The sequence below is a fragment of the Homo sapiens genome, chromosome 11, assembly GCF_000001405.40.
Source record: "Homo sapiens chromosome 11, GRCh38.p14 Primary Assembly".
NCBI lineage: Eukaryota > Metazoa > Chordata > Mammalia > Primates > Hominidae > Homo > Homo sapiens.
The window spans coordinates 130372140-130384507 of NC_000011.10; the positions used below are offsets into that span (position 1 = coordinate 130372140).

Below are 12368 nucleotides of genomic sequence, written 5' to 3' on the forward strand. Positions count from 1 at the left end.
ACTCTCTTGTCCCCTGAAGTTGCCAGTCATAGAGACAAGTACGGTTTCAGAGACACATTTTACAAAATCATCAACACACATACAGTCCTTATATTATACAAACTGTTTCAGAGCATAGAAAAGGGGAAAACCTACCCAGATCTTTTTACAAAATTGGTATAACTTTGATTCTAAAGCTGACAAGAACAAGAAAGTAATCTATTAATCACACTTAAGAGTGTAGATGCAGGCCGGGCACGGTGGCTCATGCCTGTAATCCCAGCACTTTGGGAGGCCAAGGCGGGTGGATCACCAGGTCAGCAGATCGAGACCATCCTGGCTAACATGATGAAACCCTGTCTCTACTAAAAATACAAAAAAAATTAGCCAGGCATTGGAAAGGTTGATATTGGCTAAGATTGCACAGGATGCCACGAACAGAGGCAAGTGCCCCAGAGACTCCACTTTCATTCCTAACTGTTCTCAAATTAATGCTCATGATTGAGTATTCTCAATGCAACTTGTAGAGTTTGATAAGTAAAAGTTACATGCCCCTGTGTTCCTAGCAAGATATTCACTGTTATCAAAGACAAGAGGCAGACCATTCATTCATTCTCAAAACACTGAATGCCATTCTGTGCCTAGTGCTATACAAGGCATGGGAGATTCAGTGTGAATAAGTCTTTGCTCTCCACCTAACAAGGGACAGTTTTAATTATAGGTTGTCTTCCTATTAAGTATGAGTTTTAGTAGGCATTAAAAATTAGTTTGATAATATGAGACCCAACCCTAACTTGCCAGAAGAATAATCAGTTCGTGAGCCATTGATATTTCCTGTATATTTGATGAATGTGACTTCAGTCATTCTAGTGTTAATACTGTGGAATGTCATTGGTGTAGCAACGTGGGTTCACCAAAACACCTCTTTATACAAAGGACAGATGCGTGAATTAAAGAGATTAAAGGATTATAAAAAAATTAGCCGGGCGTGGTGGCCGGTGCCTGTAGTCCCAGCTACTCCGGAGGCTGAGGCAGGAGAACTGCGTGAACCCGGGAGGAGGAGCTTGCGGTGAGCCGAGATCGCACCACTGCACTCCGGCCTGGGTGACAGAGCGAGGCGCCGTCTCAAAAAAAAAAGAAAGAAAGAAGTAGATGTAAAAATCCTAAATAAAATATTAGCAAATTTAGTTAAGCAGTGTATTAAAAATAGTGGGTAGCCAGTACTTTACATAAATAAATAGGATTCCTGGGGTATAATCATGAAGTAGTATTATTTTTCTCCTGTGATTGCACTTGGGTTTTCTTTGTTTTTAGTTTTTAGAAAGAGTCTTGCTGTGTGGCTCAGCCTGGAGTGCAGTGGCGCCGTCTCGGCTTGCTACAACCTCTGCTTCCTAGGTTCAAGAGATTCTCATGCCTCAGCCTCCCGAGTTGCTGGGACTACAGGCCACGACTAAGTTTTGTATTTTTAGTAGAGATGGGGTTTCACCATGTTGGCCGGGCTGGTCTCGAACTCCTGACCTCAGGCAATCTGCCCACCTCAGGCTCCCAAAGTGCTGGGATTACAGGCGTGAACCACCGTGTCCTCCACACTTGTAAGCTGAATAGATGGCAAGTTCTTTCTTGTCTCTGAATGAAATCTCTGCCAGGTGTCACTGACTTTTCTGGCCACTCTGAATAAAAAGTCCTCTGACCATGAAAACCAGTCTCAGTTCATGGATTAAGATATCTAGGCCAGGCACAGTGGCTCACGCCTGTAATCCCAGCACTTTGGGAGGCTGAGGCGGGTGGATTACTTGAGGTCAGGAGTTCAAGACCAGCATGGCCAACATGGTGAAACCCCGTCTCTACTAAAAATACAAAAATTAACTGGGCATGGTGGTGCACACCTGTAATCCCAGCTACTTGGGAGGCTGAGGCAGGAGAATCACTTGAAACCAGGAGGCAGAGGTTGCAGTGAGCCGAGATGGCGCCATTGCACTCCAGCCCGGGCAACAGAGCGAGACTCCATCTCAAAAAAAAAAAAAAAAAAAAAAAGAAAAGAAAAAGATATATGTCCCAGGTAGTTGTCAAAACTTCCAACATCACAAAGCATAAGTTATCTTGGCCCCTACCTGAGCCTGCAGCGGGCGGAGAGCCCGCAGTGGGAATGGAGGGTGTGGTATGTGTCTCATCTGTCTTCCTCAGTGGTGTTTTCTCCTCCTACCCATGAATTCTTTAGGTGGCCTCTGACTCCTATAGGTTGAAACAGGGTCACGCCAGTAATCCCAGAACTTTGGGAGCCCGAGGCGGGTGGATCACGAGGTCAGGAGATCGAGTCCATCCTGGCTAACACAGTGAAACCCCGTCTCTACTAAAAATACAAAAAATTAGCTGGGCGTGGTGGCATGTGCCTGTAGTCCCAGCTACTCGGGAGTAGCTGCCTCTCGGCTGAGGCAGGAGAATCGCTTGAACCCGGGAGGTGGAGGTTTCAGTGAGCCAAAATTGCACCACTGCACTCCAGCTTGGGCGACAGAGGGAGATTCCGTCTGAAAAAAAAGAAACGGAAGGGAGAGGGGGCAACAGGAAGGTCCTACTCGCACAGCACTGACGTGAGCTGGCATTAGAACTCCCTGAGCTGGGCGGAAGTTTAAAGTTAACTTTTTGTAGCATGGAGCACTTTGTGAACTTTTTTTGAGATCATGTCCCTCCACCCACCACCTGGCCCCTCCCTTTTTGGGAATCTCTCACCTGTCATTTCATTCTTGCAGGAGAATGCATCTTTTCTAAGTCTTCCCTTAGCAGCTCAGTGTTTAGCTCTCGTTCTAGTTCCAGTATTTTTTTTTTTTTTTGAGATAGGGTTCGGCTCTGTTGCCCAGGCTGAAGTGCAATGGCACAATCTTGGTTTACTGCAACCTCCACCTCCTGGGCTTAAACCATCCTCCTATCTCAGTCTCCTTAGTAGGGATTTCAGGTGCATGCCACCATACCAGACTAATTTTTGTATTTTGGGTAGAGACGAGGTTTCGCCATGTTGCCCAGGCTGGTCTCAAACTCCTGGCCTCAAGTGATCCTCCTGCCTCAGCATAGCTCTAGTTTTCTAGAAGCTGGTCCTCTTAGCTGGATCTAGGAAACTTTACAATGGCAAACACTCTCTTAGGGCTCACAACTGGCCCATGGAAGATATTTTCATACTTTGCTCAGATAAACTCTGGGAACGTGGAAATTCCCCAGTGCCTCTCTTTGCTGAGGGTAGTACTGCCCTCAGAGCGACTACCAGCCAGTCCCCCATCCTTTAGAGTTCTCAGATGTTAGATACTGTCTTCTCTGTCCTTCGTGCTCTGGGAGACTCTGAGGAAGAGCAAAAGGCCAAGAAGACTAAATTCCATTTTTAAAAAGAAGATGGTGGGACTTGTTCTGTGACATCATAAGACTTATTTAAACTATAGAAATAAGAACATAGTGGGATGGTGCAAGAATTGGAAAATAAGTCAATGGAATAGGATAGGAACCCAGAACATCCTCACATGGATGTGGACATTTACTATATGATAAAGATAGAATTAAAAATTGGCCAGGCGTGGTGGCTCATGCCTGTAATCCCAGCACTTTGGGAGGCCGAGGTGGGTGGAACATGAGGTCGGGAGTTCAAGACCACCCTGGCCAAGATGGTGAACTCCCATCTCTACTAAAAATACACAAATTAACCGGGCATGGTGGTGCTCACTTGTAATCCCAGCTACTCGGGAGGCAGAGGCAAATAATTTCTTGAACCCCGGAGATGGAGGTTGCAATGAGCAGAGATCATGCCACTGCATTCCAGCCTGGGTGACAGAGCGAAACTCTATCTCAAAAAAAAAAAAAAAAAAAATCAATGAGAAAATAATGAACTGTTTAATACGTGGTGCTTGGAAAATCAATTATCCATATGGAAAAACACAAAATTAGAACCCTGTCCTACATAACAGGTGGGTTAAAAATCCTACAAGTAGGCTGGGCACAGTGGCTCATGCCTGTAATCCCAGCACTTTGGGAGGCTGAGGCTGGTGGATTGCCTGAGGTCAGGAGTTAGAGACCAGCCTGGCTAACATGGTGAAACCCCGTCTCTACTAAAAATACAAAATAATTTGCCGGGCATGGTGACGGGTGCCTGTAATCCCAGCTACTTGGGAGGCTGAGGCAGGAGAATCGCTTGAACCCAGGAGGTGGAGGTTGCAGTGAGCCGAGATGGCACCACTGCACTCTAGCCTGGGTGACAGACTGAGACTCCATCTCAAAAAATAAAAGAAATAAAAAGAAAAAGGGAGGGCAGTAAAACCTGGGCGATGTCTGCACAGGAAGTCTCAATTATGTTTGCAAAGCTTAATTAAAAAAACACAAATCCTGAGGTAGATCTCTAAATCCCATTTCCCTTGGTGAAATGGCTGGTTCCAGGTTTGGGGCAAGATATGCACATGATGAGCATTGGAGAACTTGTTTTGCCAGGAAGTGAAGAAGCACTCTGAGACTACTTGGGATCGTGTCGAAACAGCAGAGGACCCACTTTGAATGGGTTCCCACTGGCTGAAGTGGGGCAATTTCTGCATCAAAAAGGATAGTAGTAATACAATGGATTAAAACCTATCAAATACATAAAAATCATGACTTCACAATGATTCCTAAAAATAATCATAAAGCCAAGCAACCTAATGGCTTGTCTTTGGAGGTTACGGTTGGGGTTTATTATTCTGAAAATGAATGAATAATGAGAAAGCATTTATTTTACCTTTCCTATGACAACTATATTTTAGAAAAATAAGTAGTTGATAAAAGTAGTTCCTGCCTATATAGAATTCCAACTTATCAATGCAGGAGAAATTACAGATTTTTAAAAAATTACCTCCAATGAAATAATTGATCTAGGGCTGGGTGCAGTGGCTCATGCCTGTAATCCTAGCACTTTTGGAGGCCAAGGCAGGAGGGTCACTTGAGGTCAGGAGTTTAAGACCAGCCTGGGCAACATGGCAAAACCTCGTCTCTACCCAAGATATGAAAATTAGCGGGGTGTGGTGGCGCATGCCTGAAGTCCCTACTAGGGAGGCTGAGATAGGAGGATGGTGTGAGCCCGGGAGATGGAAGTTGCAGTGGACCAAGATCTTGCCATTGCACTTTAGCCTGGGCAACAGAGCCAGACTTGTCTCAAAAAAAAAAAAAAAAAAAAAAGAAAGAAAGAAAGACTTGATCTAGGCAACAAGGCAACATTCAATAATGAGGCTAAAACTATTGGCTGGAATATTGATAGAGAACATTATAATGGAAGGGCCGGGCTGACCTCACCTATACCCCATGATCAATCTATGATCAATCTTAGCCTCCCTACAAGTAGGGCGGCTCAAACACTATGTGCCTCATGGTGTAATGCAACAGGAAACATCATTTATACTTTCTTGCCTAAACAACTGAACCTGATTGTATCATCTTTAGAATTTGCTACTAGTTTACAGGAAATATGAGTGACAGAAGAATGACTTAAATGACAAGAATACAGTCAGCTAAATCAAAAAGGTGGGACATTCCATTGGAAAGATGACCCAGTTTTTCTCCAATAATTATGCATTATTCTCCAACCAAGATGGCATTAGAAAAAAAGGGAGGGTGGATTTTTGGGATAAAATAGACTGAGAAGAGATAACAAATGCTATGTGAGACCCTTGTTTCCCTCCCAATTTGAGCAAATCAACAATAAAAACACAATTTGAGAAAATCAAGGAAATATGCATATGGATTCGTATTAGAAGACATTAAGGAATTATTATTTTTGTTATGTATGATGAAAGTATAGTGATTATGTTTAAAAAATATCTTTCTCATCTATATAAGGACACATTAGAGTGTAATGAAGGAGCCTGGGAAATTTTGCCTCCAAACATGGCACTCTAGCATGCTGATTATTTTAAATGAAAGGTCCTTGAAAGTAAGCAGACACTGAAAGATGGTATGCTCTGATATTCTCTTATCTACTTTAAGATTTGACCCTTGGCCAGGTGCAGTGGCTCACGCCTGTAATCCCAGCACTTTGGGAGGCTGAAGTGGGAGGATCACTTGAGGTCAGGGGTTTGACACTAGCCTGGGCAACATAGTGAGACCGCATTTCTACAAATATTAAAAAAGAAAAAAGAAAAAGTACTGGACCATCCAAAGAAAACACAATTGCCTTCCGTCCCCTCCCTGAAATCTTATTATCTATGGCAGAAAAGACTGAGGAATGCAACCACACCTGGTTGACTTTTTCACAAGATAACGTCTGCCTCTGTGGCTCATTTGAATTCCAAAAAGAATCATTTACAAGTTAATCTCTGTCTCCCGGGTCCATTCATTCTCCCTAACCATTGTTTACTACCCCTCAGATGCATGGCCTGCATTCTGCATCTCCCTCCACCTACGAAGAAGGGTGCAGAAGCATCTGTATCTCACTGGGTTATGGTAACCATTCTCCTGCGATCCCCCAGTGTTTATGCATGTTAATAAAATTGTATACCTTACAGAAACAAAGTAAAATAACAACAAAAAAATTGTATGCCTTTTTTCCTCTGTTAATCTGTGTATTTATTTATTTATATATTTATTTTTAGACGGAGTCTCGCTCTGTCACCCAGGTTGGAGTGCAATAGCGTGATCTTGGCTCACTGTAACCTCCGCCTCCTGGGATCAAGCAATTCTCCCACCTTAGCCTCCCGAGTAGCTGGGATTACAGGCGCCCGCCACCATGCCCAGGTAATTTTGTATTTTTAGTAGAGATGGGGTTTTGCCATGTCGGTCAGGCTAGTCTTGAACTCCTGACCTCAGGTGATCGCCCGCCTCAGCCTCCCAAAGTGCTGGTATTACAGAGTGGGCCTCCACGCCTGGCCAATCTGTGTACTATCAATTGATTTCAATAGACTTAGACTTGAACCATCATGGGAAAGTTTGAACTTCACTGCAGTAACATAGTGTCATACTAGACCCCTATTGACTCCAATAGAGATGGCATCATGTCCAAGAGGCCAAAGAAAAGATCTAGAGACAGCCAATGAGACATAGGGTTTATTTGGGGGAACTTACATACAGGGATGGTCTATTCGCAGTGGGCTGGACAGGACAACCACTACTATTGGTAAAAAAGCATGCAGTTTATACAGCATTTTCACATAGCATCCTCCACCTAGCAACCGTCACCTACTAACCTCCATTTAATCCCCCAAAAAGGGACTTGATCCCCTGTATTACCTGTGTTCCAAGTGACAGGCCAAAGGTTCAGATGTCCTTCGTGGATTAGGAGTGGATCTCCTGGTTGGCTGCTCCTGGATCCCTTAGCTTGGGACTCTGAACACACATTCTTCTTAGACCGCAGAGTCATTCACAGAGTCATGCTTCAGTGAAGTTATTGCTGTCAGGGGTGCCTGCCACATGCATGGTGAAATGCCTTTCAAATGGTCTTTTACCCCAACGCTTCAGGGAACCTTAAAGAATGAGAAGTAAAAATGAAAATATAAGCTCCCCAACTGACTGAACGGAATCCCTCTTGGCCAAGGGGACCCCAGAGAGACCTTGAAATCTAAGTTCCTGGCCATGATGGGATGGAAGCTCAGAAATGCCTCATTGTATCCCATCCCTCACTAACAACCATTAGGCTTTCTTCCCTAAGGGCTAAACAGAAACTGGCCCTTTCAGAAGAGTATCACTGATTTCCACCAACCACTGACTTCTGACCCTCCCTTTTGCAGTTTCAACACAACAACTGACCGATCTTCCTTACTGATCAGAGACCAGCAACCACAGAGTGGTTCTGGCCAGTCTATGGAGGATGTACAGTGAGGGTCTTCATGTCCTCTGCTTCACCTTTTGATCAGAGGGCTGAATACTCCATCAATGGATCATGGTAATGCCACCATCTTTTGAACATGGGTCCTGTGGAGAGGCATGAAGCTCAATTGTGCATGTGCATGTTTCTCCTTTCATGAATATTCATGACTCCTCCTATAGCTTATTGAATATATATAGGTGGCCACCCCATTCAGCATAAATCCCTGTTTTATATTTCTGACCCTTGGAGTTTCTGTTTCTTTTTGAGACGGAGTCTTGCTCTGTCTCCCAGGCTGGAGTGTAGTGGTACCATCTTGGCTCACTGCAAGCTCCGCCTCCCGGGTTCCAGCAATTCTTCCACTTCAGCCTCCCGAGTAGCTGGGATTACAGGTGCCCACCACCACGACCAGCCAATTTTGTGTATTTTTAGTAGAAACTGGGTTTCACCATGTTGGCCAAGCTGATCTCGAACTCTTGACCTCAAGTGATTTGCCCACCTTGGCCTCCCAAGGTGCTGGGATTACAGGTGTGAGCCACCTTGCCCAGCAAAGTGCCTGTTTCTGGCTTCTGGATGGAGGCTGTGCTTCCCGGCCTGTCCAAATGGTCACCCTGTAGGCCACAACCTTTTATGAGAAATGAAGCTCTCCTTCCCCAAGTTCATGAACCTCATCATTCTTCAGTTTTCATGAACTACATAAACTGGCCAGATGCTTCACTCAAGGGTCTATAATATGAGCACCTCAGTTGGTCTTGCTGGGCGCCACGGCCTGAGAATGTAATACAAACTAGGAGGAGCAGATTTCCTGCTTTCAGTGAGGTGGGTGCCGGAGCAGCGCACTGGAGCAGCACACTGGAGCACCGCACCAGTGTTTGTGGGGCTCAGAGGAGGGCACCAATGGGTGCAGCCATGCGAAGAGCAGTGTCCTGGGGGCCCTTGGAGAGAGGCTCCAGCACCCTTCCAGAGCACCCGTGGGGTGCCTGGGGGCTCCTGGAACCAGAAAGGCAGGGTATGAGGAAGTCTTCTGCTGACGAGGGCTGAGCCCCACCCAGGCTGATGGGGCTTGAGGACATCTGGCCTACACTCACAGAATGTAGATTAGGCATTTTACATACAAGCACAACAGTCCAAACCCTGGGTCACCCCTATTTTACAGTTACGGAAATAAAGGCAGAAAACCATTTAGCTTTTGACCTCTTACAAAGGCTGGGCGAGAACTATCTCCTGCCTCCAGGCTGCTCTCTCACCCCCACCATCCAGTAAATCTTTCTAACTTTCTGCACACCTTTGTCTAACATGCTGAAAGACTGTCAAAGGACTTGCAGGGTTCAGCCCAAGAGGTGTTAATAGCTACTATCTTCTTTCTGAAGCTTTTATCAGGAACTGCTGTTTTCACAAATCAAACTGTGAGAACATTTGCCAGAAATTTCCCTGGAGCCCAGGCTTCACTCTTCCTGCAGCATCAGAACGGGCATGTTTAGTGGTGGCGATTGCATTGCTTGAGGCCTGTGGCCACTACCAAGCCTGAGTCCGTTGTGTCCTTAGAAGCTCTGCTCTTTCCATTTGATGCCTGTGTCTCCGGTGGAGCCCAGGAGGGGGTGGCAACGTTTCTGTGGCACTTTGCCAGCGGCAAGAAGGCTAGGCTTGCCCTGAGAATTTCCATTTGTAGGCTCTGAATCAAGTCCAGGGAGCTACTTGCCATGGAAATCCTGGTGGTGGTTTGGCTAGAGGAGACAGGTATACTTGCAGGCAGCTATTTTCCCGGCCCTGCCAGCTGAACTGATGAAGCACCTGTGATGGACTCATTTCTCACATTCCCACGATTTGGCAATTTCTTTTGATAAAAGTTTCCTCCTTGCCATGTCTGTGGACTCAAATCTGGGAATTATGTTTGATGTTGAAAGACTTTTGCATTTTGGACTTGTTTGGACCATGTCTGCCTTGTTTATAGAGTGGGGGCATCTTCTGGTTTAGTGCAGTGGCTCACACCTGTATTCCCAGCACTTTGGGAGGCTGAGATGGGTGGATCACTTGAGGTCAGGAGTTTGAGACCAGCCTGGCCAACGAGGTGAAACCCTGTCTTTACTAAAAATACGAAAATTAGCTGGGCTGGTGGTGGGCGCCTGTAATCCCAGCTACTTGGGAGGCTGAGGCAGGAGAATTGATTGAACCCAGGAGGCAGAGTTTGCAGTGAACCAGGATCTAGCCACTCACTGCACTCCAGCCTGGGCGACAGAGTGAGACTCTACCTCAACAGCAACAGCAACAACAAACAACAACAACAGAGTCGAGCGTCTTCCTGTTATAAGTATATGTTCATCTCTGCTCTCTATAAAGACAAGAAATTAAGAAGGGGTTAATAAGAAGAGGATAAAAAGAAGTAGGGTATTTTTCCTGGTCTTCTTGAAGGTAATCCCATGATATATGTACCAGATACTGAAACCACCCAAACCAGATAGCAGTATTGTGCAGAATGGTATAGAGTAAAGAGCTCTACATTAGGAGATGAGCACTATGGCCTTTTCAAGGTGTTTAGTCCACATTGGCCTTGGTTGGCTCCTCTGTAAAATAAGACTAAATAATGACTAACCTAAGTAAAGGCAAGAGGTTCAACCTGATCAATATCTGGAGTGACTTTCCTTTTCTTTAAATCTCAGCAATACTGACAATCTAACCATCCATTCACTCATTCACTATTGCTTTATGTACTCATTGATTTGTACATTCGTTCACTCAACAGGTTTTCATTGAGGGCATATTACATTTTCTATGAAAAGAGCCCAACTCTGTAAAATATTTGAAGAGATTTATTCTGAGCCAACTGTGAGTGACCAGGGCCTGAGACACAGTTTCAAGAGGTCCTGAGAACATGTGCCCAAGGTGGTTGGGCACAGCTTAGTTTTATACATTTTAGGGAGACATAAGACATCAATCAATACATGTGAGGTATATATTGGTTTGGTCTGGAAAAGCAGGACAACTTGAAGTGGGGTGGGGCTTACAGGTCATAGGTGGATTCAAAGATTTTCTGATTGGCACAAAAAATACAAAAATTAGCTGGCCATGGTGTCACACACCTGTAGTCCCAGCTATTCAGGAGGCTGAGGTGGGAGGATTCCTTGAGCATGGGAGGTCAAGGTTGCAGTGAGCCGAGACGGTGCCACTGCACTCCAGCTTGAGAAACAGAGTGAGACCCTGTCTCAAAAAAGAAAAAAAAAAAAAAGAAAACATTCAGTTCCGGTAATCTGGGAAAGCATTAGGAAAGAGGTGACGAAGAAAATAAAACATGGTCTGTCTATAGATGCTCACAGGTGGGGAATCAGAAAGCAACAGGAGGTGGGTGGTTTGGAACTAAAGGGCTATGTAGCAGTGAATTTTGTCAGCATAAGCTGCCAGCCGCTTGTCTTGGTAGGGGCTGTCAAACTCAGTCTAGCAAGTTCCCACACAACCCACCTTGTTGGCCTCTGCAGTCTGCTTTTCTGCTTGGGTTGAAACCGTCAGTCTCTGGGGAAGGACTGTTGGCAGATGAGCCCGATGAGTTGGGGAATGAAGTTAGACCTAGGTGGTCTCCCAAGGGCAGGATTTTGTCAAGACTGACGTTTGACAATGAAGCTGATGCAAATGCAGACAGGTGGTGCCCGCTGTGCCCTTTGTGTTGCCTTCCTGTGCTTCTAACTTGGTGTGACTTGTTCAAAATCCCACCTACTACTTCACCAAGACTAGCTTTCCACACTCTGAAATGGATTTCTGTTTGTGGTCTGTTAGGCCACTGTGTGGTTTCCCCTATGGGATTCCTTTTTGTGGTTGGAGGTCAAATTCTTTCTTGCCTGCTGCTTCCAGGAATGTGTGCTGTGTGTCTCAGTGTGCTGCACAGGAGGGTCTTATTTCACCTCCCTTGAATGGAATGGCAGTTATCCAGCAGGTCTGGGTGCATGTATAAATAGAGGGATGCGTAAGCCTGCGTTTAATATCTAGCACATAAACCGGCCACCACTGCGTGCTACACAGTCATGTTTTCATTAAAGGCTGCTGACAGCACCGCAGACCATGCTGTGGGGCCCAGCAAACCACCTAATCCCACTGCTTGATCCCAGGCATAGATGGGGCAGATTTCACTGCCAGGAACAATTTCTTTCCAGCCACCGCAGCTCTGAGTTTCTGCTGCTTTTCCTGCTTCAGCTGCTCATTGCTGATGACTCTGGGTCAGACAGGCCAGAGTGCACATGGAAGGCTGAAGTGGACAGCTAATCCCCAAGTTGTAGTCTTTTTTTTTTTTTGCCAGAAGATTTAGATTCACTCCCCTGTGAATACTTTTGACTACAGAGCTGATGTCAGAAGAGCTGGTTGATCTTTTTTTCTTTTTCTTTGTTCTCGGCCATGAACCAAGAAGGGCCATTAAAAGTTCAGCATTTCAGCCAGGCGCGGTGGCTCACGCCTGTACTCCCAGCATTTTGGGAGGCCAAGGCAGGCGGATTGCTTGAGCCCAGGACTTTGAGACCAGCCTGTGCAACATGGCAAAACTCCACCTCTACAAAAAATACAAAAATTACCTGGGCATGGTGGCATTTGCCTGCAGTCCCAGCTACACTGGAGG

General features: G+C 45.5%; 1 long non-coding RNA gene across 1 annotated transcript in view, besides 2 other annotated features; it reads left to right on the forward strand.

Annotated features, from left to right (window-relative positions):
- ZBTB44-DT (ZBTB44 divergent transcript) overlaps positions 1 to 12368 on the forward strand; it is an 88665-nt gene that overhangs the window by 57147 nt on the left and 19150 nt on the right. The window lies entirely within an intron of this gene.
- Positions 6101 to 6616: an enhancer, noted in NCBI's record as "OCT4-NANOG-H3K27ac hESC enhancer chr11:130248135-130248650 (GRCh37/hg19 assembly coordinates)". NCBI's record gives its function as "activates a minimal SCP1, AML or CMV promoter by ChIP-STARR-seq in primed H9 embryonic stem cells {active_cell/tissue: H9 hESC(primed)}" and the evidence as "EXISTENCE:reporter gene assay evidence [ECO:0000049][PMID:30033119]".
- Positions 11339 to 11883: an enhancer, noted in NCBI's record as "OCT4-NANOG-H3K27ac hESC enhancer chr11:130253373-130253917 (GRCh37/hg19 assembly coordinates)". NCBI's record gives its function as "activates a minimal SCP1, AML or CMV promoter by ChIP-STARR-seq in primed H9 embryonic stem cells {active_cell/tissue: H9 hESC(primed)}" and the evidence as "EXISTENCE:reporter gene assay evidence [ECO:0000049][PMID:30033119]".